The sequence below is a fragment of the Homo sapiens genome, chromosome 3 (assembly GCF_000001405.40).
Source record: "Homo sapiens chromosome 3, GRCh38.p14 Primary Assembly".
NCBI classification, from domain to species: Eukaryota; Metazoa; Chordata; class Mammalia; order Primates; family Hominidae; genus Homo; species Homo sapiens.
The window spans coordinates 55731861-55757867 of record NC_000003.12 but is presented as its reverse complement, the minus strand read 5'-3'; the positions used below and the strand labels follow the sequence as shown (position 1 = coordinate 55757867).

The 26007-nt window shown below is 39.8% G+C and overlaps 1 protein-coding gene across 20 annotated transcripts in view; it reads left to right on the top strand.

Moving 5' to 3' along the window:
• The window catches only part of ERC2 (ELKS/RAB6-interacting/CAST family member 2), a 960157-nt gene that overhangs the window by 710600 nt on the left and 223550 nt on the right, over positions 1–26007 (top strand). For 14 of the 20 annotated variants that reach the window (NR_132749.2, XM_017006156.2, XM_047447950.1 and 11 more), the window contains one exon: positions 22950–23097. Coding sequence is in view for 19 of the 20 variants with exons in the window: in XM_017006156.2 (XP_016861645.1) it covers positions 22950–23097 (148 nt within the window). In the remaining variant the exon portion in view is untranslated. Of the gene's footprint in view, positions 1–22949; positions 23119–26007 lie in introns of all 20 variants that reach the window. The other 6 variants (XM_017006148.2, XM_047447948.1, XM_017006146.2 and 3 more) reach the window with 1 other exon arrangement.

Genomic DNA, 26007 nt, shown 5'->3' with positions numbered 1-26007 from the left:
GACTTTTAATGATCTAAGAGTGAAAACAGTTAATACTCACTAAGAATTTTGATTACATTTCTTAAATTGTAAGCTATTGATAAATAATTTATGTTTATGTAAGTGGTAATAACCTAAATTATTAGGATGTTCAAAGTGAACAATATTTATAGGTTTATAACTCCTCCTTTTCCTACTCCATTAATTTACTGAATGCTTACCATGTGTCAAGCACTGTGTTAAGCTCTTTATATATAGTATCTCATTGATTTCTCACAGCAATCCTGTGAAATAATTATTATTAGAATTATTTAGTAGATTAAGAAAGTAAGGCACTGTGTTATTAAGCTGAATCTTATGATATTGTCATTTTTATGGGTTGAACATACCCAGACACTGGCAGTTTCACAGGGGTCCACCTAGTATAATTTTATTATAATGATTTATTACATAAATTTGGATTTAGCACTGATCAAATCATATTGCCAATACTCACCTCCTCACCTAAAAATTTGAGATAGAGAGACCAGTGTGGAAGGGACATCCTTTTCCAGTTCTCAGATTTCTTTAAAATTCCAAATTTACATTATGCTAAGTAATATCGTGCTGTGTTTTTTGTAAATGTTAAGTCTTCCAGAACAACTTACATATTACAGAGTTGCTCATTAAAGCTGGGGAATGTCACAAAACAGAGAAGCTCTCCTTGGCCGGAAATGACAATAATTTACCATGCCTATACACTAATATGATGTGGTGTTCTGTGTTCTTTTCTGAATACCCACATACACCATAGTTTCAAGGGGAGTAGTTTTTAGTTCAGGGAGAAGTTTTTAGTTCAGCATGGAGTGTTTTCACCAAAAGCATATTGAATTTGGTATATCAGCATATTAGCAAAGTGGGTTTAAGCTAAAATTTGAAAAGGTAGAAGCATATTTTAACGTGGATTTGGGTATACTTTTTTTTTCTTCTTTGCATCTTATTCATTTTTTAAAATCAGAGATAAAAGCATGTACGTTTCCTTTCTCCCTCTTTGAGGGAGGGAACTCTTAAGGTGGTTTTCTTTGTCTTGGGTACAGAGGAAGGGGATGGGGTGGTAGGCGAGAAAGATTTAAGGAGGTAAAAAGGACTGACTATTCTTTCTAAAAAGAGTGATCTTCCAGGCATTTTAATGGCTTAGAAACAGACAGTTGTTGGTGCCCCTTTGTTTTCAAGCTGATTTGATTTTTCATGGCTTGGGCCAGTGTTTGGAAATAATTCATCAGAAGATGTCAGGATGAACAAGAGACACATTAGAGTCAAACAGCCTTTGACATGTCATACTTCTGTTGCTCTGAGATTTTTAATTTTGAAATTTTAGAAAGATAAACTAACCGGAAAAACAGTGATCCACAGCCTCAAAAATACTTACTGTCATGTCCAATTTCCCATTCCTTGTGTCCCATGGGGCACATATGGGAAGCTCCATTGCACCTTTTAAAGTGAGACCAAGAATATTTTGATGTCAAGGGCATAGACTAAGTTCATCAGTATTACAGTCACCTAAGATCATGTTAGCATCAAAAAGTTTCCTGGTACCCCCAGTTTTAATAATTATCAGCGCCTTCTATTATGTAGGTACAAAAACACCTGAAGATGATAAAAGTATGTTTAAAACTCTGAGGATAATTAAATTATGTTCATCTGGCTTTTTAGCTTCGTGACTGTGTTTCAATTTGTAAATGTTATAACTGTTTTAAATTTTTTTTTCTCTAGCAAGCTGCAAACTTTTGAAGACATTAAGCCTGCCAAATTATAGCCACTTATTTCTGCCTGACGTATTTTTCAGCTTAGAACCACAGAGGGACTGCCAAGCCTGTTCCTTTTCATTACCTGTTCTGTGTCTGGCCCCGAGTTTAGATTTTCGAAAATGGAAAAAAGCTGTTTGCAAAATCACAAGGCTCTTGAGCTCTTAGTTTCTTCTTAGTATCAACATTTATTTATTTAGGTTTGGGCTGGGTTTCAAAAGATTGAAATTGGAAACAGAGAAGGTGACTCTGAACACCATTTATCTGTATATAAGCGAACGTTCGATGTACGTTTAATTTAAAAAATTGCTGTTTCCTACAAGAGGGAGCTATTTTTCACATTGTTACAACATTTTTAGAGGTCACTAGGTGGTCATGTCACCAGCAGGGAGTTTTTGTTTGGCAGGCAGCATTGGCAGTTAGTTACAAATGCCTCCCATGATTCAGTGTTCAAAGGGGGCTGCTTTGCAAGTAACAAATACTTACAACCTGAGAACTGAAGTATAAAAAGTAGTGACAGGGGAAAATGTTTGGAAATGTAAAACAGCATCTTTAGTGGCCAAATTGGGGTGTTCGGGGAGTTGAAGATTACATGTCTACTTTATACTTGAGCTTAGCGTTTACAGAAGCAATAATGCCTTAACTACCGCAGTTGGCTGTCACCTTGCTTCTAGTTAGCAAGTGCTCTTAATTTGTGATTTGTTGGTTCTCATGCTTTGGAGTATCACTGAGGTTCCTGACAATAATCTTTATTAACCTCATCCCCTGCATTTGCCATCCTGGTAGTTACTCAACCTGTGCCTCTCGGTCATTCCTCATCGTGAATGCTGGTAACTTAAGCAAGATTAAGTGGGCAGCTAAAAGCACCAATTACTGTGGTTTCTTCTAGGCTTCCATATTTACAGACAAACCAGTATTTCAAATTTGGGATAAGAGAGTTATAATCCCTCTTTATGGGGGAAATAAATAAATGAAGTGCAGATGGATCTTTGAGGAAATGGCTAAGATGAAAAAAAAAAAAGAAGATGAATAGCCAATCACTAGGACTGTGAGCATTTTATTTATAATTACTTTTTAAGTATAAAAATGGAGATTAATTTGTGCCTCCATATCAGGACAATTGCTGTGTCTCCTTCCCCACCTCCACTTTTGTTTAACTAAGGAATGACCTAAAGAATGCAGCTGTCACTTAAGAATACAATACAGTTATTTTGCTATATTAGTACAGCTTATGGGTTATAGATACTTTAGCTTTTTTAAGCTAAAAGCTAAATTAATTCAGTTTCAGTGAAGAATTGTCATGGCTCATGTTGCGCTGTTTAGGATAGAAAAACCTAAGAATCTCAGACTTCTTTAATGGACAAAGGAAGATATTTAGCATCTGTTATTTGTAGTTCAAAGAGAAACTACAAATAAATTGATAGGACTTTCATTTATTTGATCATAGCAGTTCATTGATATTTTTCTATTACTCTTGTGAGATTTAAATTTTTTTTTTTATGTAAGAATGGATAACTGTCATAGCCACGCAGGGTTTTTTTCTCAAGCAAATTAAATTCATATTTATAATGACATTTTGCTACTTCTTTAATCCTTTGCAGAAAGCTTTTTGGCTCTGAAGAGCCGTTGAAATATTGAGTTTGGATATCCAAAAGAATCCTGCTAGGTGATTAAAGAAAAGGAAGCCAAAATCTAGAGTAGAAATGTCTTAGTTACACTGTCATTTTTATAATGCAGTTCTTTTTGCATTTATCTGAAAAATTAATTTTCCCTCTCCAATTTACATCTGCTTAAGCCTGTGGCAGTGGAATTGTGATACCATGGTAAACACTAGAAATGTATTGAATCTGTAGATAAAAGTACAGAAAACAGAAAATAAAATATTTTCTCTCCTGGTTTTTTAAATAGTTTTCTCAAAAAAAAAAATAGTTTTCTTATCTGTAGAGATCGGTGATTTGAACATATTTATCTTGTAGCCGATAATAACTTAATGAACCACACTCATAGTAATGGTAAAAAATAACTATAGCTTGCATTTATAATAATAATAACTGCTTGTTATACAACCAACTAAATGTGCTAAATGGTTTACATATTTATCTTATATAATACCTCATAAGTGTATTAGGATTCTCATTTTACAGATGAAGAAACTGAGATTCAAAGAGTTAATTAGCTTTCCCAAAATCACACCAATGGCAGTGGTGCAGAACCAGAATTTAAACCCAGATTTGTGGAATCCCATTCATTGATTCAACAAATATTAATTGCAAGTTTGGTGCATTTAGAAAAACTGATCATTGTTTAAGTTTATTTAGAAGCAGCCATTCTCTTTCTTGCCAATGGATTATTGTCAGATCTCTCAATGAACCACTGGAAAAGGAAAACTCTTTTGTGCCTCCTCCAGATAGTCGTTTTCCGTTCGTGAATTTATGTTTGCCCCAGTGAAATTCCCATTAGCCATTCGGACTGGTGATTTTACACCAACTTGATGAGTTTGGCTTAGTCAATAGAAGCAGTGCCTAGCACATGGTGTGTCCATACCAGCTAGTGTTTCAAATGAATCCAATTGCACCATCACCATTTGGGTCCCAGGGGGCCACAGCTTTGTGAGTAGGGATGCCCCTGATAGTAATGCCCACCATTCCTGTGGGGTTTTGCAGTTTTCCAGATGCTTTCCTGTGGGGGATCTTCTGTGAACCTCTTAGTGACCTCGGGGGTAGGTAATATCATTTTTATTTTATAGATTCCCACAGCTAAGATACGTAAAGTCAAGTGACTTGTCAAAGGCACATATATAAAATTGGATGACTGTCTTTCTATGTTACCCCTGTTTTCTGTTTTCTATGCCTTATAGTATTGGCAGTGGGATTGGGGGGAAGTATGTTGAAGGTTCAGACTTCTCTCCCCTTTCTCACTGGAATTGAGAAATCACAGCCCATCCAGGAGCAACCATGTGATCTGCTCTGCCCACCGAGTTCTGAAGTATTGCTGTCACCCACTTGGGGAGTTCCAGCAGTGTGCATTGTGAGTCTCTCTCTTCCCCATGGACTTGGTTAGCAACTTTGTGATTTGGCTTCAGTCCTTGGGCATCCCTAGAAATGAAATAAATATACAATCAAATGAAATAAACATCCGAGCACCAGTTGTAGAGCTGCGGTCGGCTGCTCTTACTGACGGCAGCATTGTGACTGAGGGGGTGGTCCTCTTATCGGAATTCAGCCAACTTCTCACTTGATTCAAAGTGAATCTGTTTTTTCTGTGTCAAGAGTATCTCAACTTAGAACAATGCTAGACATAATCTATTTTATTTTGAGACATAAAATTATAAATACCCGGGTTCGAATCTCTACTTTGCCATCTACTAGCCATGTAAACTTGAGTAAGTTAATTCACTCCTTTCTGCCTCTCTTTTCTTATCTGTCAAATGGGAACATAATGGCACCTTCCTCATTAGATTGTTGTGCAGCTCAAATGAGTTAGTACACATAAAGGACTTAGAATGGTATAGTCTTTGGCACAGAAAATGTGCTGGTGTGTGTTAGCTATGTATTTCCTATTGTAGGCTCTATGGCCTGTCCCTTGTTCAGCAGTCTTGGCAAAACTGTTCAATTATCTTGAAACAGGCCAATAGAGCGCTGGTAAACCAGGTCAATAGAAAAAACAAAATCCCTGATTGGTAGTGATTGCCAATTTCCATCGTGTAAATACTTCTACCATGGCCAAGGTACAGGCTGACCCTTGTCAGTTGGAAGGAGATGCACATAATTGACTCTCGCTAGCTAGCAGCCAGCTCCAGCACACCATAGAAATAGACCCCTTAGCTGTAAGATCATTAGAGAGCTGCCAATTAGGATGACCCTCAGCTCATAGCTGTCCCTTTTTCTTTTGGTGTGATCCCATTATTTAGGGTGTGTTTCTAGTGATGGGGAAATCAGGCCATAACTGATTGACCTAGGTGGGGCTAACAGATTTTCTTTCCAGGAAGGTCAAACATTACTCTTTTTCCATTAAGCCTGGAGGTTGTAACAAAGTTATTCTGTAAACAGTAGGTCTTCTGAAGAAAGGTTTAGGATTTCCTGCTACTGAGGGTACTGGAGCAACTTTCTCACTGACCCTCCTAAAGCTCACTTGTTAGCTCTTTTCTTTTCCTCAGTTTATTCAAGTATCCCTCTAACACTTCCTCTTTTTGCTAAGTTAGCCAGAATTAGTTTCTTTTGCTTGCAATCCAAATAAACCCAACCAAAGCATGTGTTTAGTCACATCATTCCTCCATTGTTAGAATTATTTCCCTGGGATTTTCTCGACATTGCCTTCTGTTGTTTGTACCAACACTGTCAGAGATGGGTATGAGGGAGCCCAGGCCATTGCTGACAGCTCTGACTTAGCCAGAGTTGCTCCTGTTACTAACTTGGCCTCAGCCTTACCTACTTGTGACTTTCATCCTTAAGTCCTAGTTCAAATCTTAGGGTGCCCCTGGAGCAAGCCTCATCTATGTTACTCTAGCAGATAATTGAAGGGATAACTACCATGTTCCCAAGTCTTCTCTGTTGCTGATTACTCCCACATTCATATTCCACCAATATATATATACATATTGTGCTAAAATCCAACAAAATGAACAAACGAAAGAGAGGCAGAGTATGTCATATTTTACACTAGGCCCTTCTTGCCACCTTTAGAAATAATTTTCCTAAAGATTGGCATTGACCAACTCAGCTTTTCTTTCCTTCTGTGGTCACTGAAGACCCCTAGAAGGACCTGGAGCTCGAGCTCTTGTCTGATGGGGCCTATTTGTGAAATAAAGAGATTATTCTCCACTTATATCCTAAAGATACCATATTGGAAACAGACATTGGCAAAGGGACGGTCACTCAGTACAAACAATTTGGGTTCAACATGGCATTTATAAGGCAGCCAGCTTGGAAGTGCCAAACACTTTTCACAAGGAAAGCCCTTACCTATGCAGAACAGAAGAGGATGTTCCTCACACATACCCTGATAGTAACATGCAGCAATCACGTGAATGTTTTCCAGACCGTGGAAGTCATGGACCAATCATAGGAAAAAATATTTTTTGCCAACAACATATGCTTGCTAACCTAATTAAGCTATTAAATAAGACTATTCAAGTGTTAACTATTATCATCATCATTTGAGAAAGGGTCATTTTAATTCCAAACATTAGAAAGGACATTACTGAATGTCACAATAAAAAGCTGCTGTTCCCCAGAAAACAACTTACACATAATGTTCCTACATCCTCATGTGTGCATGCGGGCATGCGTGAAAACGTCAGCACTGGCCAAACCAGTCTTTCCGTTGGCACTTAAGGCATTCTTTATTTGACCACATTTCTTCCTTGGTGGTGGTATTCTAGCATCCTTGAAAGTTATGCAACTAGGAACAGGCATAAGTAAGCAAAAGAGAATTTTAATCGACTGAATCATCTCAACTCTCAATCAGACACTTACCCCATCTGGAAGCCACTCTTTTCCTTCCAGAGCCCTTCCATTCCTACCCTCCCTTCATACTCAGCTGTCACCCTTATCCTCTGTGAAGCCTGCCCCCATCATCCCGGACCAAAGGGACATTTCTTCCTTCCTGCAACCAAGAATTGAAAGGGCCAAGTTTAGTCTTTAACATCACAGACTTGGATACAAATTCCAGTTCTCCTTTTAAAAGCAATGGGACCTTGGACAACCTTAAATATTACAGTCTCAGTTTACTCAACTTTACAAGGGGTGTAATAAAACTTTCTCTTGGAAGGCTATTTTGAGCAGACTAAATGAAACAACGTACTTTACTTATGCCTTGCTTATACATATAGTAATCAAAATAATAATTATTAACAATTTCTTATCCTGTATCTTAACAATGAAGATGTTAATAAACTATTATTTATCTTTTATTTTATTATTTAAGTCTTTATATAATTTAAGTCTTTTTCTTTACCAGATCAGTTTGCAAGCCTTACCCATTGCTGATCCTTCATAACACGTAGCATCGTATTCTGTCCATAGTAAATTCTCTTTGAAAATGGTAGAAATTAAGACACTGGTTAACAACATTAGACTGCTCTTTTAAGCCACCACCTATAGGTATGCAGTCATCCTTAAAGATATCTTTTCATTATGCCCCTCTTCAATGGGATCTTGAATCCCTTTGTGTCCGGAGTTGGCTCCTGCTGGTGGGTTCGTGGTCTCACCGACTTCAAGAATGAAGTCGTAGACCTTCGCAGTGAGTGTTACAACTCTTAAAGATGGCACTGATCCAAAGAGTGGGCAGTAGCAAGGTTTATTGTGAAGAGTGAAGGGACAAAGCTTCCACAGCGTGGAAGGGGACCCAAGTGGGTTGCCGCTGCTGGCTGGGGTGGCCAGATTTTATTCCCTTATTGTCCCCGCCCATGTTCTGTTTCTGTCCTATCGGAGTGCCCGTTTTTCAATCCTCCCTGCAATTGGCTACTTTTAGAATCCTGCTGATTGGTGTGTTTCACAGAGCACTGATTGGTGCGTTTTATAGAGCGCTGATTGGTGCATTTTACAGAGCACTGATTGGTGCATTTTACAATCCTCTTGTGAGACAGAAAAGTTCCTGATTGGTGCTTTTTACAATCCTCTTGTCAGAAAAGTTCCCCAAGTCCCCACTCAACCCAGGAAGTCCAGCTGGCCTCACCTCTCACCTTAAGGGTTCTCCAGCCCCATTCTTCCTTGACCCCTGCCTTATGTCCCATGCCTTGAAGTTCAAATCTAAGCAGGGGTGCTTTGTTGTTGGTCAGTGGAGCTGGGAAGCCTCAAGGTTGTCCAGGGAGATAGATGGTCTGATCTCAGCATTCAACAGATCGGTATTGCAGGGAGTGGTAGTCAGTGTCAGGTTGGAGTCTGGTCACCAGGATGTTTTCTCACTAAGTGGTTTTCCAGGCCTGGGGGCCTCTTTTACAGGACTGAGTTCTGTCACTTCTCTGGGTTCCTAGGCCTCCTTCCCCCACCTCCAATTTGTGCAAAAGGCCTTCTGCAGACTGGGTTAATTACCTCTAGTGGTCAGTCTTGGGTGTATGTTGAATATTGTGGAGAGGGAATTACCTCAACCTTTTACATCTCTGAGGATATAAAATTATAAAGATTTAAAATGATCTATGGGCATGTGTTGTAAGCAAACAAAGAAACCAATAAAACTCCTTGTATTTTGGAAGACTATTGGGTTGAACCATACAAAATTTCTGATATTCAATTGTTTCTGACCCATAAAAAAGTGAACTTGAACTTCGTATTATTCGGCCTAGTAGCTATGACTATGAGGTTTCATGTTTCTGTTTATTTGTTTATTTTGAGCTTCTGATTGCAACTGGATTATACTAGGCATTCGGGATGAAGAGGATGGGCTGGGAGGGAGCTTTTGAATTGATTATCCTAGTATTTGATACATGCAGAGGGAAATGCCACATGGATTCTTTGCCCAGCATTTGAATTGGGAAACAGGATTCAGGGATATCTTCTTTGCACGGTATTGCTGATGATCCAGCATTTGCTCATGATGGTAATAGAAGGGTGTTTCTTTGTGTCTGGTGGCATCATCACAGGGTCTGTCTGTCTCATGACTGTGGACAATCTCTGGGTTCTGCTGTGGTAGCAATCTCTGGGTTCTGCTGTGGTAGCAGTCTCTGAGTTCTGCTGTTAGAGAAGCAGGGATGGTTTCTGTCTTGCTTGTCCCCATTCATCCCTGGTACGTGGTACACAGTGGTCACTCAGTAAATATGTGGTGAATGAGTTGGAGAAATTGATGAACTGCCTCTGACCACCTGGATGGTTTATTTTTGCTTATGTGGCCAGTAAATAGCCACCCTAGAGGAACATATTCAGTTTAGCTGCTTCAGGTTGGAGTTCATAATTTCATATCTGAAATGTTCCTGCTTCCAGTAATCGCTCCTCCCAGGGTGGAAATTTCACTTCTGTGAGCCACAAGGCCACCCATCCTGTAAATCTGAGACTGCTTTCTATACCATTGTTTCTTGGGCTGGCTCCCTTGCGATTCTTTCCAGATGTGGAGCTCCTCCAGGTAGTTTACCAGACCCTTTCCTTCTGCAGCTGCTGTCTGGTTTCAGGTTCCTTCAAACTCTGGGAAGGAGCACTCCAGTAGCATCCCACAAATTGTATTCATGAGTCCAGAAATTTCAGGTAACTAACAAATATAACTTTTTATAATTTAGGAATACATAAGCTGAGTCTTGCAGCTCTTTGTTTGGCCTGTCTTTTGAACCGTTGCTTAGCAGTGCAAGGCTTCAGGTGTATGTATGTAGACGCATAGTTCTATACTTCTGTAACTTGGGCTCTGAAATTAATTTGTGGTCATTGAGTATGCTCTTGTGCCTCCTCTTCATTTGAAGGCTGTGATGCATTGGTGAAACTTTGCAAAGGCAATGGCCACATGTATTTGCTTTCTGTTCTGTTGACACAATCAACAAGATCATGATTAATGAGTGTGCATTAGATAGGCTTAGTGTGTTTTCATAGTGGCGTTTTAACCATTTCTTCCCAACACAGAACTATTATAAATTTTGTCTCATTTCTTTTCCTTACGGCGTGGAATAAAGTATTTCTAATCTCACTCATTTGGACTTTCAGTTATTTCCAGAAAAGCAATTTCCCTTAGTTTTCAGGTATGAAGCCCCCTTTGGTTTGACAATCTATTTTATTCTGGGTGTTCTCTTAGCAAATGTATGGCAAGTACAGAAATGCTGAGACTGTCATTCATTTGGAAGAAACTCTGTGTCCATTAAATGACCTCTTTAAAAAAAAAACAGGCACCTAAAACTTCCCTGTCACCTCTTAACTGACTTCTTAGTAGTCCCAATCCTGTATTAAATGATAATTTGATAGCTAATTATTTGAAACTAGACTTTAGTCAAAGAATGAAAAATGTCAGCAGAATGGGGATTTGAATATGAAATGTCCTAGCTCCCCCTGAATCATGGATCTCTCTCCCATGTGTAATGTTTATTTTTTTAAATAAGCATTCTTTCTGGTACCTTTTCTGAATATAGATTATTAGAGATGTAACTACAGAAAAAAATTGAAAAGGGCAATATTTATTGCAATGGCCACAAGATGGCAGACCTAAAATCCAGACTTCACAAAGTAATTTAGACATTTACATGAAGAATTGCATCTTTGAGCATCTTTGAGGATGCCTTAAAAGCCATCAGTTTCCTTCACCCTCCCAAAATGTCTCCTCTAGGTTGTCTTGAATTGCTGTCCAGCTCTGTGGCAGGCACAACAAGGGAGAACAGCTTTGATTAACATTGAATCAACAGCTTTGATAAACAGATGGGAATCTGTTTAGCCCCTCTCCCAGAAGGGATCAGACCTTCCTGCCCCTCGCAGAAACCTGCCCTTTGCCTGGCTACCACCATCACCTGCAGCACACACAGACATGCCACCCTGTGTTTCCTTCTCCTTTGCAGAAGCACAACTGCCTTTTCCCTTCTCATGAATTAAAACTCTCTCAAAGGAGCTGCCTCCAATAAACTCACTTTTATGTTTTTCTCTCTACAAAGATCCACTCCAGGCTGGGTGCAGTGGCTCATGCCTGTAATCTCAGCACTTTGGGAGGCCGATCACCTGAGGTGGGCGGATCACCTGAGGTCGGGAGTTCGAGACCAGCCTGGATAACATGGTGAAACCCCGTCTCTACTAAAACTACAAAAATTAACTGGGCATGGTGGTGCATGCCTGTAATCTCAGCTACTCGGGAGGCTGAGGCAGGAGAATCGCTTGAACCCGGGAGGCAGAGGATGCAGTGAGCCGAGATGATGCCACTGCACTCCAGCCTGGGTGACAGAGCAAGACTTCATTTAAAAAAAAAAATCCACTCCACAGAACCTTAATTCAATTTTATTTGAATGTTGCGCTAACAGAATTCCAGAATGTGCCCCCTTCTGCACATATTCTTCTCACAGCAATGGCATGACGATCTGTTTTGTTTTGTATTACAATTTAGCCTGTGGGAATGTTCTATTCCATGTAAACATAAACAATGGAAGGTTTGATTTAACACAAAATATTCAAATTAAGAAGGGAAATATGTAGTTCAAGATGTAGGCGGACAATTTGCTGCTCTGTGCAAAGACTGAGAAATAAATATTAGCAGCTTTAAATATACAATAGAGGCGAAATTAAAACATATTGTTTTTAGAGAGACTTACATATATACACACACATAACCTCACTTCACCAATAAGAAAAAAATAATTGATTGGATGCTATGGGGGCTAAGCCTTGATGTCAGTGACCTATTTTCTGGTAGTTACTCATTTCCAACCAAAAAGTTAATGCAATACGACAGTCTCTTGACAGTAACTGATCACCCATGGACAATAGGTTTAGTTTAGGCAGATACTGGACAAAGCTCTGTCCTGCAGTGAAGTCCAGATGTATTTGGTTTTCTCATTATCACTCATCTATAACCTGCCAGAGATTCTGGTTAGGTGTATTTCACATAGAAAGCTACCTTGGCAGAATTGAATGGTCAACAGAGAGGCTTTCTTATTACTGAACGGGAATAACAAGAATGACCAAGCACCATCATCTAACATTACCACTAACAGAGGGTATTGCAGTATGTCATGGAAGTCCCTTCATTTCACTCACCCTCCCTGCTTCCTAGATTTACCAATTTTTTAAAATATTTTTTTCCAATGGAAGAATCTTTTATTTTGAATTTGTTTGATTTTGCACTTGACTTTGACTTTTTAAAAGTCGCCTTTCAGAACACATTTCCATTTCTCAGTTTCTTAAACTATGTGACATCATGTCTTGCCTATTTCCCACGTGGCCTTTCCTATCAATTTGGATGGAATGATATTGGACAGTTATAGACCAAGTCAAGCCTGGCTTGTCTGGGATGCAACTCTTCTGTGGTCAGCAGACTCCTCTCCAAAGTCTGTTTTCTTCTTTATGTCTGTTTATGGAGCAGATGTCAACTCATGAAAGTCAAATGTGCAGCTTAACAGAAACCAATTTTAAAGGCCTCTCTGAAAGTTTGTCTTGAAAGTAAGAGACCAGTGAGCATGTTTAGATATATTCACTATAAAGGGGAGCTCATAGAAAGTAATGCAAAACCTTTGAATCTTTAACTTTGGTGGGGTCTGTGTCATTTAATAAGCAAATGCTAGCATTTCTTGTGTGGTCATCTCAGGCACTGAACAAAATCTTTACATGCGTGATCCCTTAATTCTCACGATGATCCGGTTACCGGTAGAGGGTCTTGACTGCAAGTTGTCCAGGTTCTTGGAGTTTTGAACAAAGAATTGGACAAAACACAAAGCAAAGCAAGGAAAGAATAAAGCAACAAAAGAATGAAAGCAGGGATTTATTGAAAATGAAAGTACACTCCACAGGGTGGGAGCAGGCCCAAGCAGTGGCTACAGGGCCTGGATACAGAATCTTCTCAGGTTCAAATACCTCCTAGAAGTTTCCCATTGACCACTTGGTGCTCACCTCATGTAAATGAAGCGGTGGCCCGCAATCGGTCTGAAAGCAACCAATCAGAGCCTGAAGTGAAGTTACAAAGGTCACATTCCTGTGCAAACATCTGATTGGTTGCAACCAATCAGAGGCTAAGGTGAAGTTACAAAGTTGCACTTCTTTTTGTTTGTTTGTTTTGCTTTTTGTTTTTTTCATATTTGTTTTTGTTTTTGAGATGGAGTTTCCCTCTTGTTGCCCAGGCTGGAGTGCAGTGGTGTGATCTCAACCTCCTCTCACTGCAACCTCCCCCTGCTGGGTTCCAGTGATTCTCCTGTGTCAGCCTCCTGAGTAGCTGAGATTACAGGTGTCCGCTACCACGCCCAGCTAATTTTTTGTATTTTTAGTAGAGATGGGGTTTCACCATGTTGGCCAGGTTGGTCTCGAACTCCTGACCTCAGGTGATACACCCACCTCGGCCTCCCAAAGTGCTGGGATTACAGGCATGATCCACCATGCCTGGCCACAAAGTTGCACTTCTATGCAAATGAAGACTGGGCTGGCAATCAGTCTGATTGGTTGCAGACAGCCAACTTCCCATCTGCCATGCAGAAAAGGTGGGAGTTTGCAAACGGAGTAACCTTTGGTCCTTTTGTTACTTAGGCATGGAAAATTAGGGTTTTCCTTTTAATTTAGTTCTAGGAAGTTGGAGTGAAATGGCCTTCGGTTCCCTGCCTCCACCATATTCTCCTACCTCAATCCAAGAGAGAGTTATGATTGTCCATCTTAGGTTATTTATGAGGAACTTGAAGTTTCAGAGACAGTGAGTAACTTACCCAGGGCCACAGTCAAAAGGTTATCCCTGAGATTCAAACTCAGGTACATTTGCTTCCAAAGCCCCAGCACTAAATAAAGATCAGTACCTCCTCCTCTTAAAAACTTGAGTAATATTTCATTTGTGTGGGTATGTTTTTTAAAAAATCATAATAGGCTAAAGTGCTCAAAAGAAGTATTTTCTTTTTTTCTTGTTTCTTTTTTTTTTTTTTTTTTTTGGTGGATCAGGCACATAGTAATGAGCAATGCCTCACACATGTCCACTGCCAAGACCTGGGACAATGGTCCCTCCCATCCTTCATTGCCTTTTTATCAATTCTCTAGAAGGACAGGATTCAAGAGAAACATTTAGAATAGGGGGAATAGCTCTTCCTGGCACTCCTCCTCTGGCCTTGGACCTTTTCTATGTGGGAAAATCAGTTGGCTTCAGACTTACTGATTTGTAGCAGGATGCCAAATGATGCTGGCATTTGCCCTCTTAGTGCCCTGAAGCACATGACGTTGGCACTTGAGAGTGTTCTGGTCCAGTTGGAGAAACTGGAGGAACCGCCGGATGGGCCAGCCACCTCCCTGGCTCATGCACTGAGCAAGGAACAGGGTAGAAGCTGGTGCTTAGAGTAAAGAACTTCCACAAGACTCCATGGCCCCCGTGTTAGGAAATTCCAGTCATGTGCTATTAGGTTTCAAAGACAGAATTCTCCGTAATTGGAGTAAACTATTTTTTTGAGGTCAGTTTTAGGTGGGCAACAGGGAGCAAACCACATTAAGAAGTCTGGGCTGCCAAAGCCTGGCCTTTACGAATCTGGTCTGTTCTTTGTCCTTACTGAAACTCATGCTTGTTCAAATATATCTCACCCTGTGGGCCCCACCTCATGTGAGCTGCTTTGCTTTCTGCATGGCCCCTTCTGCATATATCATACATCATTCTGCTGGTGGGTAGGGTTGATATTAATTGATATCAAAGAACTTTTCTTTCTCAAGATGCCATTTGAAAACACAGCTTTTAAAATTTAGGCAAATGAACATCTATCTCCACCCAACCCTCACCCCAAGGGTGAGAGAGAGGCTGTTTTGAATAGGATCTTTCGTCACCATCTGTCTGAAGTCACCTCCTACTGAACTTACAGTTGAATATTCAGGGTCATGAGGGAAAGAAAATAGTAATTAGCTGAGAAAAGTTGATTGAGCGGACTTTTTCCCCCCACAATATGATTAGAACATGACTGCCTGGGCTAAGCACCATACATAATGTAGGCTTTCTCTTATATGTCATTATCCAAACATTCTTAATGGAATGCATTTTTTAAGCATCTGCTTTTGTAATTGAATGCATTCCTAAAGATGGGTCAGCTAACTAAAACAAGAACCCACAAGAAACAATGTGTTAATGCTTCTTCCCAAATCCAATTTGTAATAGTTCCTAATTGGCCTGCCTCATTTGCAACTCCTGAAATTAATTTTAGATCCTCTTTCAGAGCTCAAATCATCATTAATAGAACGACAGCAATGGGGAGTGAAGTAGAAATGTTTACAAAGCTCCCTTTTAAATGGACTGTGATAAGTGAGGTAGCCATGTATTACCATCAGAGGATCCTGGAACTCTCTTTGTGAGGGCTAGCCACAGGCGACACTCAAAAGAAGGCATTTATCTTGGCAGGAGATGCCCTTCAGCCCTGTTTTGTTTTATTCCATGGAAGGTTTTGTTTTTTTTTTTTTCAGGGTGGCTAAAACCATTTTTTTTGGTGTTTTATTAGCTGTATCTTGACTACCTCCTACACACTGAATGACAGTTTAGGGTTATTAAATGTGTTCTTGCACATATTTTTATCCACTGTTAATCCTGACTAAATGTATGACAGGGCACAGAATTTCCCCCTTTTTTCCTCTATTGTTGCCCATATTTGTTAAAGAAATTATTCCCCTTGACATTTGTTTAGGCTGCACGTTGATAAAATGCTGTCTATGATACACTTTCTTAGCTTGGCATTCAGCAGACTTTTATAGATTTATTTCTCTTCACATTATCTTATCTTCCTTCCTAGTATATGTGGGCTTCCTTTTCATATTTTAAGCTACATTTTGGGGCATAGACAGATCACCTTAGTAATTGGTACTTGAGGATGGCAATGTTCTCAAGATAATTTTGCAAGCCTTTGGTATATACTTAAACCTACTAACTGTCTAAGAATGGGCATATATGTACTTTCCGTGTTGTCTGTAAAAAGGCAAAAGGGATAGATTGAACATGATTTCAGGCTTATGGAACTCTCTTCAGGTTGATGGGACAGTAATAATTTCTGAAGCAATATAAATCTGGTCTTGATTCTAGAAGGTAATGCTTTCATTGGGGAAAATAATGATTTTTCTGTTTCCGGTTTATATCCAAGTGTCTTGTCACTGGTATACTCTTTAAACTTGAGCCTTTAAAAAAAAGTGGTGCATCAGAACTGGTGGTATTTTAGTTTTTCCAGTTTTTCAATGGCTGGACCAAAATTTGCCGCGAGAAAAAAAAAAGCAAGGATATTTAATGTAAGCTTCCTAATCTATTTCAATGTGATTTTCTTGGTAGGTGATTTCTGCCAATGTATCAGCAAATTGGCTCATGGGAACTGTGAAAGTGTAGAATCTGACGTAGGGATAGCAAAATGAAATTCGTTTTTATAAAATTATATTCAGTATACCCATCCTCAAAACAAATCTGACCTTTAAGGCAGGGATAATGAAAACCCATAACTATACATAATTAGCTCACAGTGATTTAAATTACAGGTTGAGTATCCCTCATCTGGAATGCTTGGGACCAGAAGTATTTCAGATTTCATATTTTTTTCAGATTTTGGAATATTTGTATTACACTTACCAACTGAGTGTCTCAAATCCAAAAATCCAGAACGCTGCAATGAGCATTGTCTTTGAATGTCCTGTTGGTGCTCAAAGCATCTAGGATTTTGGAGTACTTTGGATTTGGGGTTTTTGGATTTGGGATGTTCAACCTGTCTTAGCTAAATTCTATTAGCTTAAGAAAGAGGTATTTTAACTCAGTTTTAAAAACTTCTTGCTTCAAAAACCAAATTCAATGGCTCTGTTAGCCTGGAATTAAGATTTAGTTTAATTCTAGGCCTGCCAAATCTATACAAATAGGTAATAGCCAGATAAGCCTTAACATATTCAGAATACCTTGCCAAATATCCTGAAGTATGAAATGTTCTTATTTCTCTAGTTTTATATACCTTTTTATCTTATACTAATGACCCTTTGATTTAAATGGACTAGAATTATTGAATGTAGATCTCAATCAAGGTATTTTTGGGGAAAATATCATTAGTTTATGGCCAGTATTTAAATGAGGGTTTCAAAATATAGATAATCTTAGTTACACTAATTTTATTTAGAGTTCTATGATTATATAATGCCAATATCTATAAAAATAGATTTGTTAGCCAAAAGCAAAACAAAATAAAACAAAAATACAATAAGGAGAAGGTTACAAAGAGCAAACTAGATTATTTTATATGAATATTAATTTAAGGTTGGTGAGTGGCTTTAAATGTAATTTTATTAAAAAGATTTTAAATGTACTTTGAGATTTGATAATTAAGGCTAATTTGACTTGGAACTGTATTTAATGACATTTATAGAGAATTAGAAATTGATATATGTTTTTCTCTGACAGTAAAGTGAGAATTAGAAATTAATTCATTGGGATTTTTTATGGTATTATGAGAGGATAAATAAGTGTTAAAGCTTAAAAGCCTAAATTTTAGAATCATACACAAAAACAAGCAATGGGGAAAGGATTCCCTATTTAACAAATGGTGTTGGGAAGCCTGGCTAGCCACATGCAGGAAACTGAAACTGAACCCCTTCCTTACACCTTGTACAAAAATTAATTCAAGATGGATTAAAGACTGAAATGTAAGACCTAAAACCATAAAAACTCTAGAAGAAAACCTAGGCAATACCATTAAGGACATAGGCATGAGCAAAGACTTCATAACGAAAACACCAAAAGCAATGGCAACAAAAGCCAAAATTGACAAATGGGATCTAATTAAACTAAAGAGCTTTTGCACAGCAAAAGAAACTATCGTCAGAGTGAACAGGCAACCTACAGAATGGGAGAAAATTTTTGCAATCTACCCACCTGACAAAGGACTAATATCCAGATTCTACAAAGAACTTAAATAAATTTACAAGAAAAAAAACAACCCCACAAAAAGTGGGCAAAGGATATGAACAGACACTTCTCAAAAGCAGACATTTATGCAGCCAACAAACATATTCAAAAAAGCTCATCATCACTGGTCATCAGAGAAATGCAAATCAAAACCACAATGACGTACTATCTCACACCAGTTAGAATGGCGATCATTAAAAAGTCAGGAAACAACAGATGCTGGAGAGGATGTGGAGAAATAGGAAGGCTTTTGCACTGTTGGTGGGAGTGTAAATTAGTTCAACCATTGTGGAAGACGGTGTGGCGATTCCTCAAGGATCTAGAACCAGAAATACCATTTGACCCAGCAATCCCATTACTGGGTATATACCCAAAGGATTATAAATCATTCTACAATAAAGACACATGCACATGTATGTTTATTGCGGCACTATTCACAATAGCAAAGACTTGGGACCAACCCAAATGCCCATCAATGATAGACTGGATAAAGAAAATGTGGCACATATACACCATGGAATAGTATGCAGCCATAAAAAAGATGAGCTCATGTCCTTTGCAGGGACATGGATGAAGCTGGAAACCATCATTCTCAGCAAACTAACACAAGAACAGAAAACCAAACACTGCATGTTCTCACTCATAGGTGGGAGTTGAACAATGAGAACACATGGACACAGGGAGGGGAACATCACACACTGGGGCCTGTCAGGGGTTGGTGGGCTAGTGGAGGGAGAGCATTAGGGAAATACCTAATGTAGATGATGGGTTAATGGGTGCAGCAAACCACCATGGCATGTATATATCTATGTAACAAACCTGCACATTCTGCACATGTGCACCAGAACTTAAAGTAAAATAATTTTAAAAAATGATTGTTTTTTGGTTGATGATGACTTTTGACAGTGATTAAAGCTATATAATCTCAAATTTTGACGTAGAAAAGGAAAATGGGTTAAAGCAGGCTGAAAGTAGACACAGGGAGTCTGGTTCGGAGACTACTACAGTTTTCCAAGTGGTAGATGATGTAGATTGTATCAGACATTGTGTGTGTGTGAAAATATGTGTGTGTGCCTATCTGTGCATGAAGAATGGAAGGACAGACAGAACATATTATAGATAGCCTGGGTGGGAAAATGAGCAAATTATATACCTGCTAAGATTTTGAACCATGTACCTGCTGTTTACTTGATGACCGAAAGCTTAACTTACAAGTTTTAAATGTTTACTCTTAGGATATTTTCTAAGAATAATGCTTAAAAGTATAAGCAGAAAAAAGTTAAAAAATGTCTTATTCATCCTGTCACCTTGAAATGGTGATTATTATCATTTTGGTATACTTCCTTCCTGTCCTTGTTTTTTCCTATGAGTATAGCTTTATGTTTTAGGGATTATCTTGGATATATATACATTTGTATGTCGAAAACTATGAAGGGTCTGAGATCTTCCCTACTGGCATCCTAACAAGTTAGCCTGCCTCAGTTCCATGGATGCAGGCAGATGACAAGAGACTTCTGGGCCAAAGATAAAGGACTTTATTGCTCATGGCACAGAGTGAAGAATTAGTATATTTGTGTCAATTTTCCTAGCTCCAAGTCCCATGGAGGCCAGTCGGATGGACTGGATGAACACATACATGTAGTCATTTGTATTATAGGAGGGCAACCCTGAGATTAGAGAATCTGAATATTTTATAATGGGCAGTAACATGCCTGCCTTTTGCTCTGGAAGGAGACACTATTATATGGGGCAGTAAGCGTGTCTTCCCTTTGATCCAAAAAGAAATACCACCTCTGTCTTTCAAAGCTAGTCACTATACAAACGGCCTTGAAAGTTTGTCATAAAAGAAAATAGTGCCTGTGCTTGTAAAATGTACAGAAACATGAGAGACTCATAGAGAATTGTTTCTCAACAAACATAAATATTTTCACATCACTAAGGTTTTTTAATCAGCATTTTAAATACCTGCATATGTCTGTAAAGATGCCGTTGTAGAGGTGTAGTCAATTTACCTCCAATCCCCAATTTTCCTAATATCGGTCCTTTAGTTTGTTTTCATTAAAAAAGCTTCACTTAGATATTTCAGTTTGCAACAGAGGGGATAAAATATTGCAGTCACCTTGTGTGTTGTAGCTAAAGTTTGGAATAGCAGATAGCAAATAGGCTCTCCCCGATTTAAAGTCTGTATAGCCTCTTCAGCTTCGCCCTCTGTATAAATATGCACTGGCTGGGAGCCGCAAGCATGTCTATTGTCTCAGCTGTTATCCAAAGGCAGACAGGCTCTGTGAAGCTGGATATTAATGCTGCTGCCGGTAGTCCAGCCTGCACTGCTTTTCTTCTGGAAAATGGAGATATTTCCTGACATGTTCTGCTGCTCACACATCTGCGTGAGCTTCAAACAGAAGCTCCTACTACCAGGCATTAGTGGGGCCCAGAAAACTCCATATAAATCCCTGCAGTGAAAAGGGGAATAATCTGAGATCCAAATAATGACCACCTTGTCCAAACATCTGGAGAGGGCCTGGTCTGGTGATGGAGATTAAAGAAAGGCAAAACAGGATCATGACCAGGTTTTAGTCCTGGGCCTTGTGTGCGAGGGAAGTTCCCAATGTGGAGGCTTCCTTGGGGCTGTGGGGTCTTCCAAAGTGTCTAGAATGTTTCAGAAGAGACACAAATGGTGGAGATAAGACTTTCCCAGTGGAAAGGAAGATTCAGTGAAACACACCCAGGAGAGCTATTTCCTACGCAAAAATCATCCCAGAAAATTCCAGGTTAAAATTTGTGACAGATGTGGTCATAAAATTATACTGTAAAGATTGAAGGAGGCAACTTTAAAACTTTTTGAATAAGCGATGACTGTAGGTTAAGCAGGAAGCAAAGCATTCTAATTTTTTTTAAATGAGAGGAAGAGGTGTCTGGTGATATCTTTAAAAGTCTGTAAAAAGTAAAAAATGAACTTACCTCTTCCTTGAACTAACATTTTTGAGCACTCGCTATGTGCTGAGGGATCTTCTAGAAGCTTGAGAATTGGTGGTGCACAAGATCGATGAGGTCCCAATTTCATGGAGCGTCAAGTCTAGAAAGCAAATAATAAATAAGATGCTATCAAATGGCAAAGAGTTCTATAAAAAAAATGAAGTAGTGTAATGTGACAGATGACCGACTTGGACATGAGGTGGTCTAAGTCAGTGGTCAGTCACAGACCTGGAAGATAAGAGCTGTGTGAGGCAAAAGCATAGAAAGGCAAAGCCTGTGATGTGAGGGGACAAGGGTAACATTTTTGAGGACTAGCAGAGACCTGGAACGAAATGTGCTGGAGCCTAATGATTGAGGAAGGAGAAGAGGAACAGAGGCCCTCAGAGAGGTTGTCATGGCTGATTAGCGTAATGTGTTGCAAGCATCAATAAAAGGTCTGGATTTCAAGTCTAAAGAGTGATGCAATGGATCTTTACACAATAGAATGGTGGAATCTGGGCTTATAATGTTTTGAAAGATGACTTTACTCTCTTTACCAGAGAGATCAATGAGTAAGCTTTTGTAGTGGTCCCCAGTGAGTGATGCTGATGGTTCGTAGATGTTTTTATAGTAGTGCATGAGTTTAGATAAGGGGCATACTTTCAAGTAAAACCTACTGAAGTTGTCAGTGGATTGGCTCTGGATAGAGAAAGAAGGAAAGAACTCAGGGATGACTTCTAAGTTCAGGGTTTGCACTACTTAGTGGATGGTAGTGTAATTACTGAAATAAGGAAGGCTGAGGAAGTAATCGTTTTTGGTGGGATGGCAAAGGAGCATCACTAAATGCATTGAAAATAGAACAGGGTTTCCAGTAAATTTCTCTGCCTGCCTTCAAAAGAAAATCTTGCATTAAAAAAGTAATAGGTGAAATTGCTACCCAGTTTTGGGGGGGTTTTCGCAGAGTATCTAGAAGCTTACTTGGTGCTATAGTTTGAATGTATCCCCCAAAAGTTCATATGATGGAAACTTAATTACCAATATAACAGTATTAAAAGGCAGGGGCATTAAGGGGTGCTTAGATCATGAGGATCATGAGGGTGGAGCCCTCACAAATGGACTAATTATCTTGTCTCAGGAGTAAATTAGTTCTTGAGAGAGCAGGTTGTTATAAAAGGAAGCTTTGCTTGATCTTGTGGTCTCTTTCACGCTTGCTCACTTGTCCTTCTACTTTGGTCTCTTTCACACTTGCTCACTTGTCCTTCTACTTTTCTTGCCATGTTAGTACAAAAGCCCTTGCTGGAAGCTACCACCATGCCCTTAAACTTCCCAATCTCCAGAATCATGAGCCAAATAAACATCTTTTCTTTATAAATTATGCAGTCTCAGACATTACTTTGTAACAACATAAAACAGACTAAGACTCTTGGCAAATTGATGGATGGATAGATGAATATATGTATGTTTGGTTGGATGGGTGGATAAATGTGTCAGCAATGAATGCTCAGATTTGTCCCTTCCCATTTATAACATGTGAAGCCATTAAAAGATTCCTCTCTCAGTGGCTGCAGTGTGCAGTCTCAGGGATTCTGACCCAAACTACTTTGTCCATTCTGAAAGCCAAAGAGCTAGTTTGTTTTAAGTAGTATTCATAATTTCTTTCCATTGAGACAATACTCTGTGGTTCATTTCAACTATAAATGCCAATTGTTTGTTTTTTTTTTTATTTTACAAAAATGATCTCAATAATCTTTATTTTACCAGACAGGAAGCACTACTTGCAGCCATCAGTGAAAAAGATGCAAACATTGCCTTGCTGGAATTGTCTGCCTCCAAAAAGAAAAAGACGCAGGAAGAAGTCATGGCCCTCAAGCGGGAAAAAGACCGACTAGTACATCAATTAAAGCAGCAGGTGGGGCCTCCTGCAAGACAGGTGTGTTTTTCTGGGTTTGGGGCTTTGGGGGCTTTCTCTGGATTTTAGCCACTCTTCATTTTCCCATGTCCATCCTGTGGGCTCAAGCTCCTAAAACCAGGTAGGAGTGCAATGGACCCAGTTGTCGCTGCAACACCATTTTACTGCTTTTCTGTGTTTATGTGCATGTGGCTGGGCTTGTGTGGTTTGCAACCAGTGCTGTTTTCCTTTCTTTTGTGTCAGCGTCATCTCCCCAGAAATAGCTCTCAACTTTCTTTCCTCCAGTGGACTTTGTTTGACTTCTGATTAAATTCTAGAAACTTATAATTTAAATTCTGGGCAAAATTCTTTCCTGTTGGACCTGTTACCTTCCGTCTTGCTCATTTTCTGGTCCCTGTAAAGAATTGCCCTCATCCAGGTTTTTAGGTTTCATTCCCTATTCTTTCAACTTTAGTTCTTTGACTATTTCCTCCAATACCTTTCAGCCAAGGAGCATCTCCCAGGTTCTAGCACTGCCAGACTATGCTTAGAGACCACCCAGCCATTCTTCACTCTATTTTTAAAAAATCACCTGTTTGCCCCGTTATCCTGTGTTTTCACCCCTCTAGGCCACTGTATTTGTTTTGAGGGACATGGAAGCAGGGGCATAGTTCTAACTTGTGCAGAAAATTCCTTGCTCTCTGGAAGGTTTTCTGGAAGTGGCTTAAATGGAAATAATTACACCTGAAGTATATTGGAAAATCATCCATGAAATTTTCAGATGATATTTCTCCTCCTCATATTACTTGGTGACTCTTGTAAGCAATGATTGAAGATATTCACTAAGATTCGAGTTCATTATGAAACTCAGTCAGCTCAATGGTTTATGGCCTTGCAGAGTGGCTACCACATTTTACCTAGGGCCTTATGTGGCTCTGAAGCTCTCTAATGGCCACACAGTAACCATGTGGAGTGTGTCCATATTGACTCAGCCCCTGGGGCAGGCTCTCTGCCTGCTAGAGTGATCTGTGCCAAGCACCATGGGCAAGGTGAGTGGAAGGGAAGCCTGAAGGAATAAGTTCCCTCCACTTACAATGTGACTAACCCTTTTACCCCTCAGGAAGGAAAAGGCATACATTGACCCTGCACCAGAGTTCATTTCTCATGGGGCTGCCTTGTTCAGAGACAGTGAGAGAGACAGAGAATGTGTGTGTGTGTGTGTGTGTGTGTGTGTGTGTGTGTGTGTGTGAGAGAGAGAGAAAGAATGAGAGACAGAGAGAATGAGAGAGAGAGAGAGACAGAGAATGTGTGTGTGTGTGTGTGTGTGAGAGAGAGAGAGAATGAGAGACAGAGAGAATGAGAGAGAGAGAGAGAAAGAGAGACAGAGAGACAGACCACTACTGTGTCTGAACACTCTCTCCTTGTAGAGGGAGGGTCCCAGTCACTGCCAGACACTGGGGTCATTCCACAGAGTGGCATGCCTTGCTAACGCTGGCCTCAGGGGTCAGAGATTGCTTACACCTGACCTCTTTGTTTGGAGCTGTGCATCTTTTACACTGGATTTTCCACCTACTTGGCCACAGAAAGTCAAAATGAGCGTCTTTCTTTGCTTTTCCCTAATTCCTTCCCTGCACCCTCCTCTCCTGCACCTAACCATTGTAGCTTTCTCCCACAGGTTTATAGACCTAAGAAACAGCCCTTGAGCTCGAATATACCATGCACTTGTGGTGCTGGCCACAGTCCAGATATTACGGCCAAGTACCACTGGTCCAGCTACGATGCATACATGATCCAAAGGTCTCAGGTCAGTCAGCTGCTAAGGAGACACTTGCCCCCGTCATTGGGGGTGGGGGTGCATAAGAGCTCATCCAACCTTGACCTTCACCTCTTTTGATGATTTCCAGTACTCTATGGCCATAAAAACTGAGACCATAGATGATAGCATTAGATCATGATTTGCAGTGTCATTTCATTTATTGTGTATATACCAATGGTTCCAGACTTTGGCCACCTGATAGGGTCAGCTCTTGCAGAATTAGCTTGGTGGAGCTGCAGAGCAAAGGCTGCCAGAAGCCTTCTTACCAGGCAGAATGGATAATTTTTCCTTTCTTTCTCTTAGATACTTTGCTCCTCATGTCCCCATCTACTTTTCCCAGTAAGGAATTTTTAAGGCTACCTTTTTTCTTTCCCAGCATCATGAAAATTCACTTCTTGATTCCAGTAAGGATTGAGCATAGTCCTTCAGTTTGTTCCTGGGAACCTGCACGAAGCCTTTATTCTTTACGACGAGCTTGGTTTTTGGTGTCATGGGGTACATTTGGGAAACCTCAGCTACGCAGAGTTCAGCTCCTGTATGTGCTAAGGCAGTGTCCAAAGGGCTGTTGTGGAGAAGGATGCAGTGAAGGAAGAGGATGGGCTCCTTCGTGATTTAGGTCTGATATCCTTCCTCACCCCACCCACCAAAGAGCAGGAAAAATCACCTGAATTTCAGTATCCTTATTGCCAATGATAATGACTCTAAGAACAATGATTAATGTGCTATCAAAATAACCCCCTGTTATTGAGCATTTACTCCATGCTGGGTCTTGTATCCAGTGTCCCTCAGAGATGTTGTCCCATAGTCCTCACAGCAACCATGTGAGTGTGTGCAGGATTATCTCCCTTTTCTAGGGAGCATAACTGAGGCTCAGGGTGTGGAATAACCAGTCCAACGACTCACAGCTTGTAAGTGATGGGGTTCAGGCTTTAGATAGTCTACCGGATTCCACACATACCCCATCAGGTTCAGGGAGAAATTCAGAGTGTCAAGCAGAATGGTATTCCCAGAAATTGTGAGGCCTCCTTATCTTCATAAACGTAAAGTAGATGCCAAAAAAACCATTTAAGAATGTTCTCCAGCTGTTCATAAACAGTGGGTTCTGCCTGGAGTCC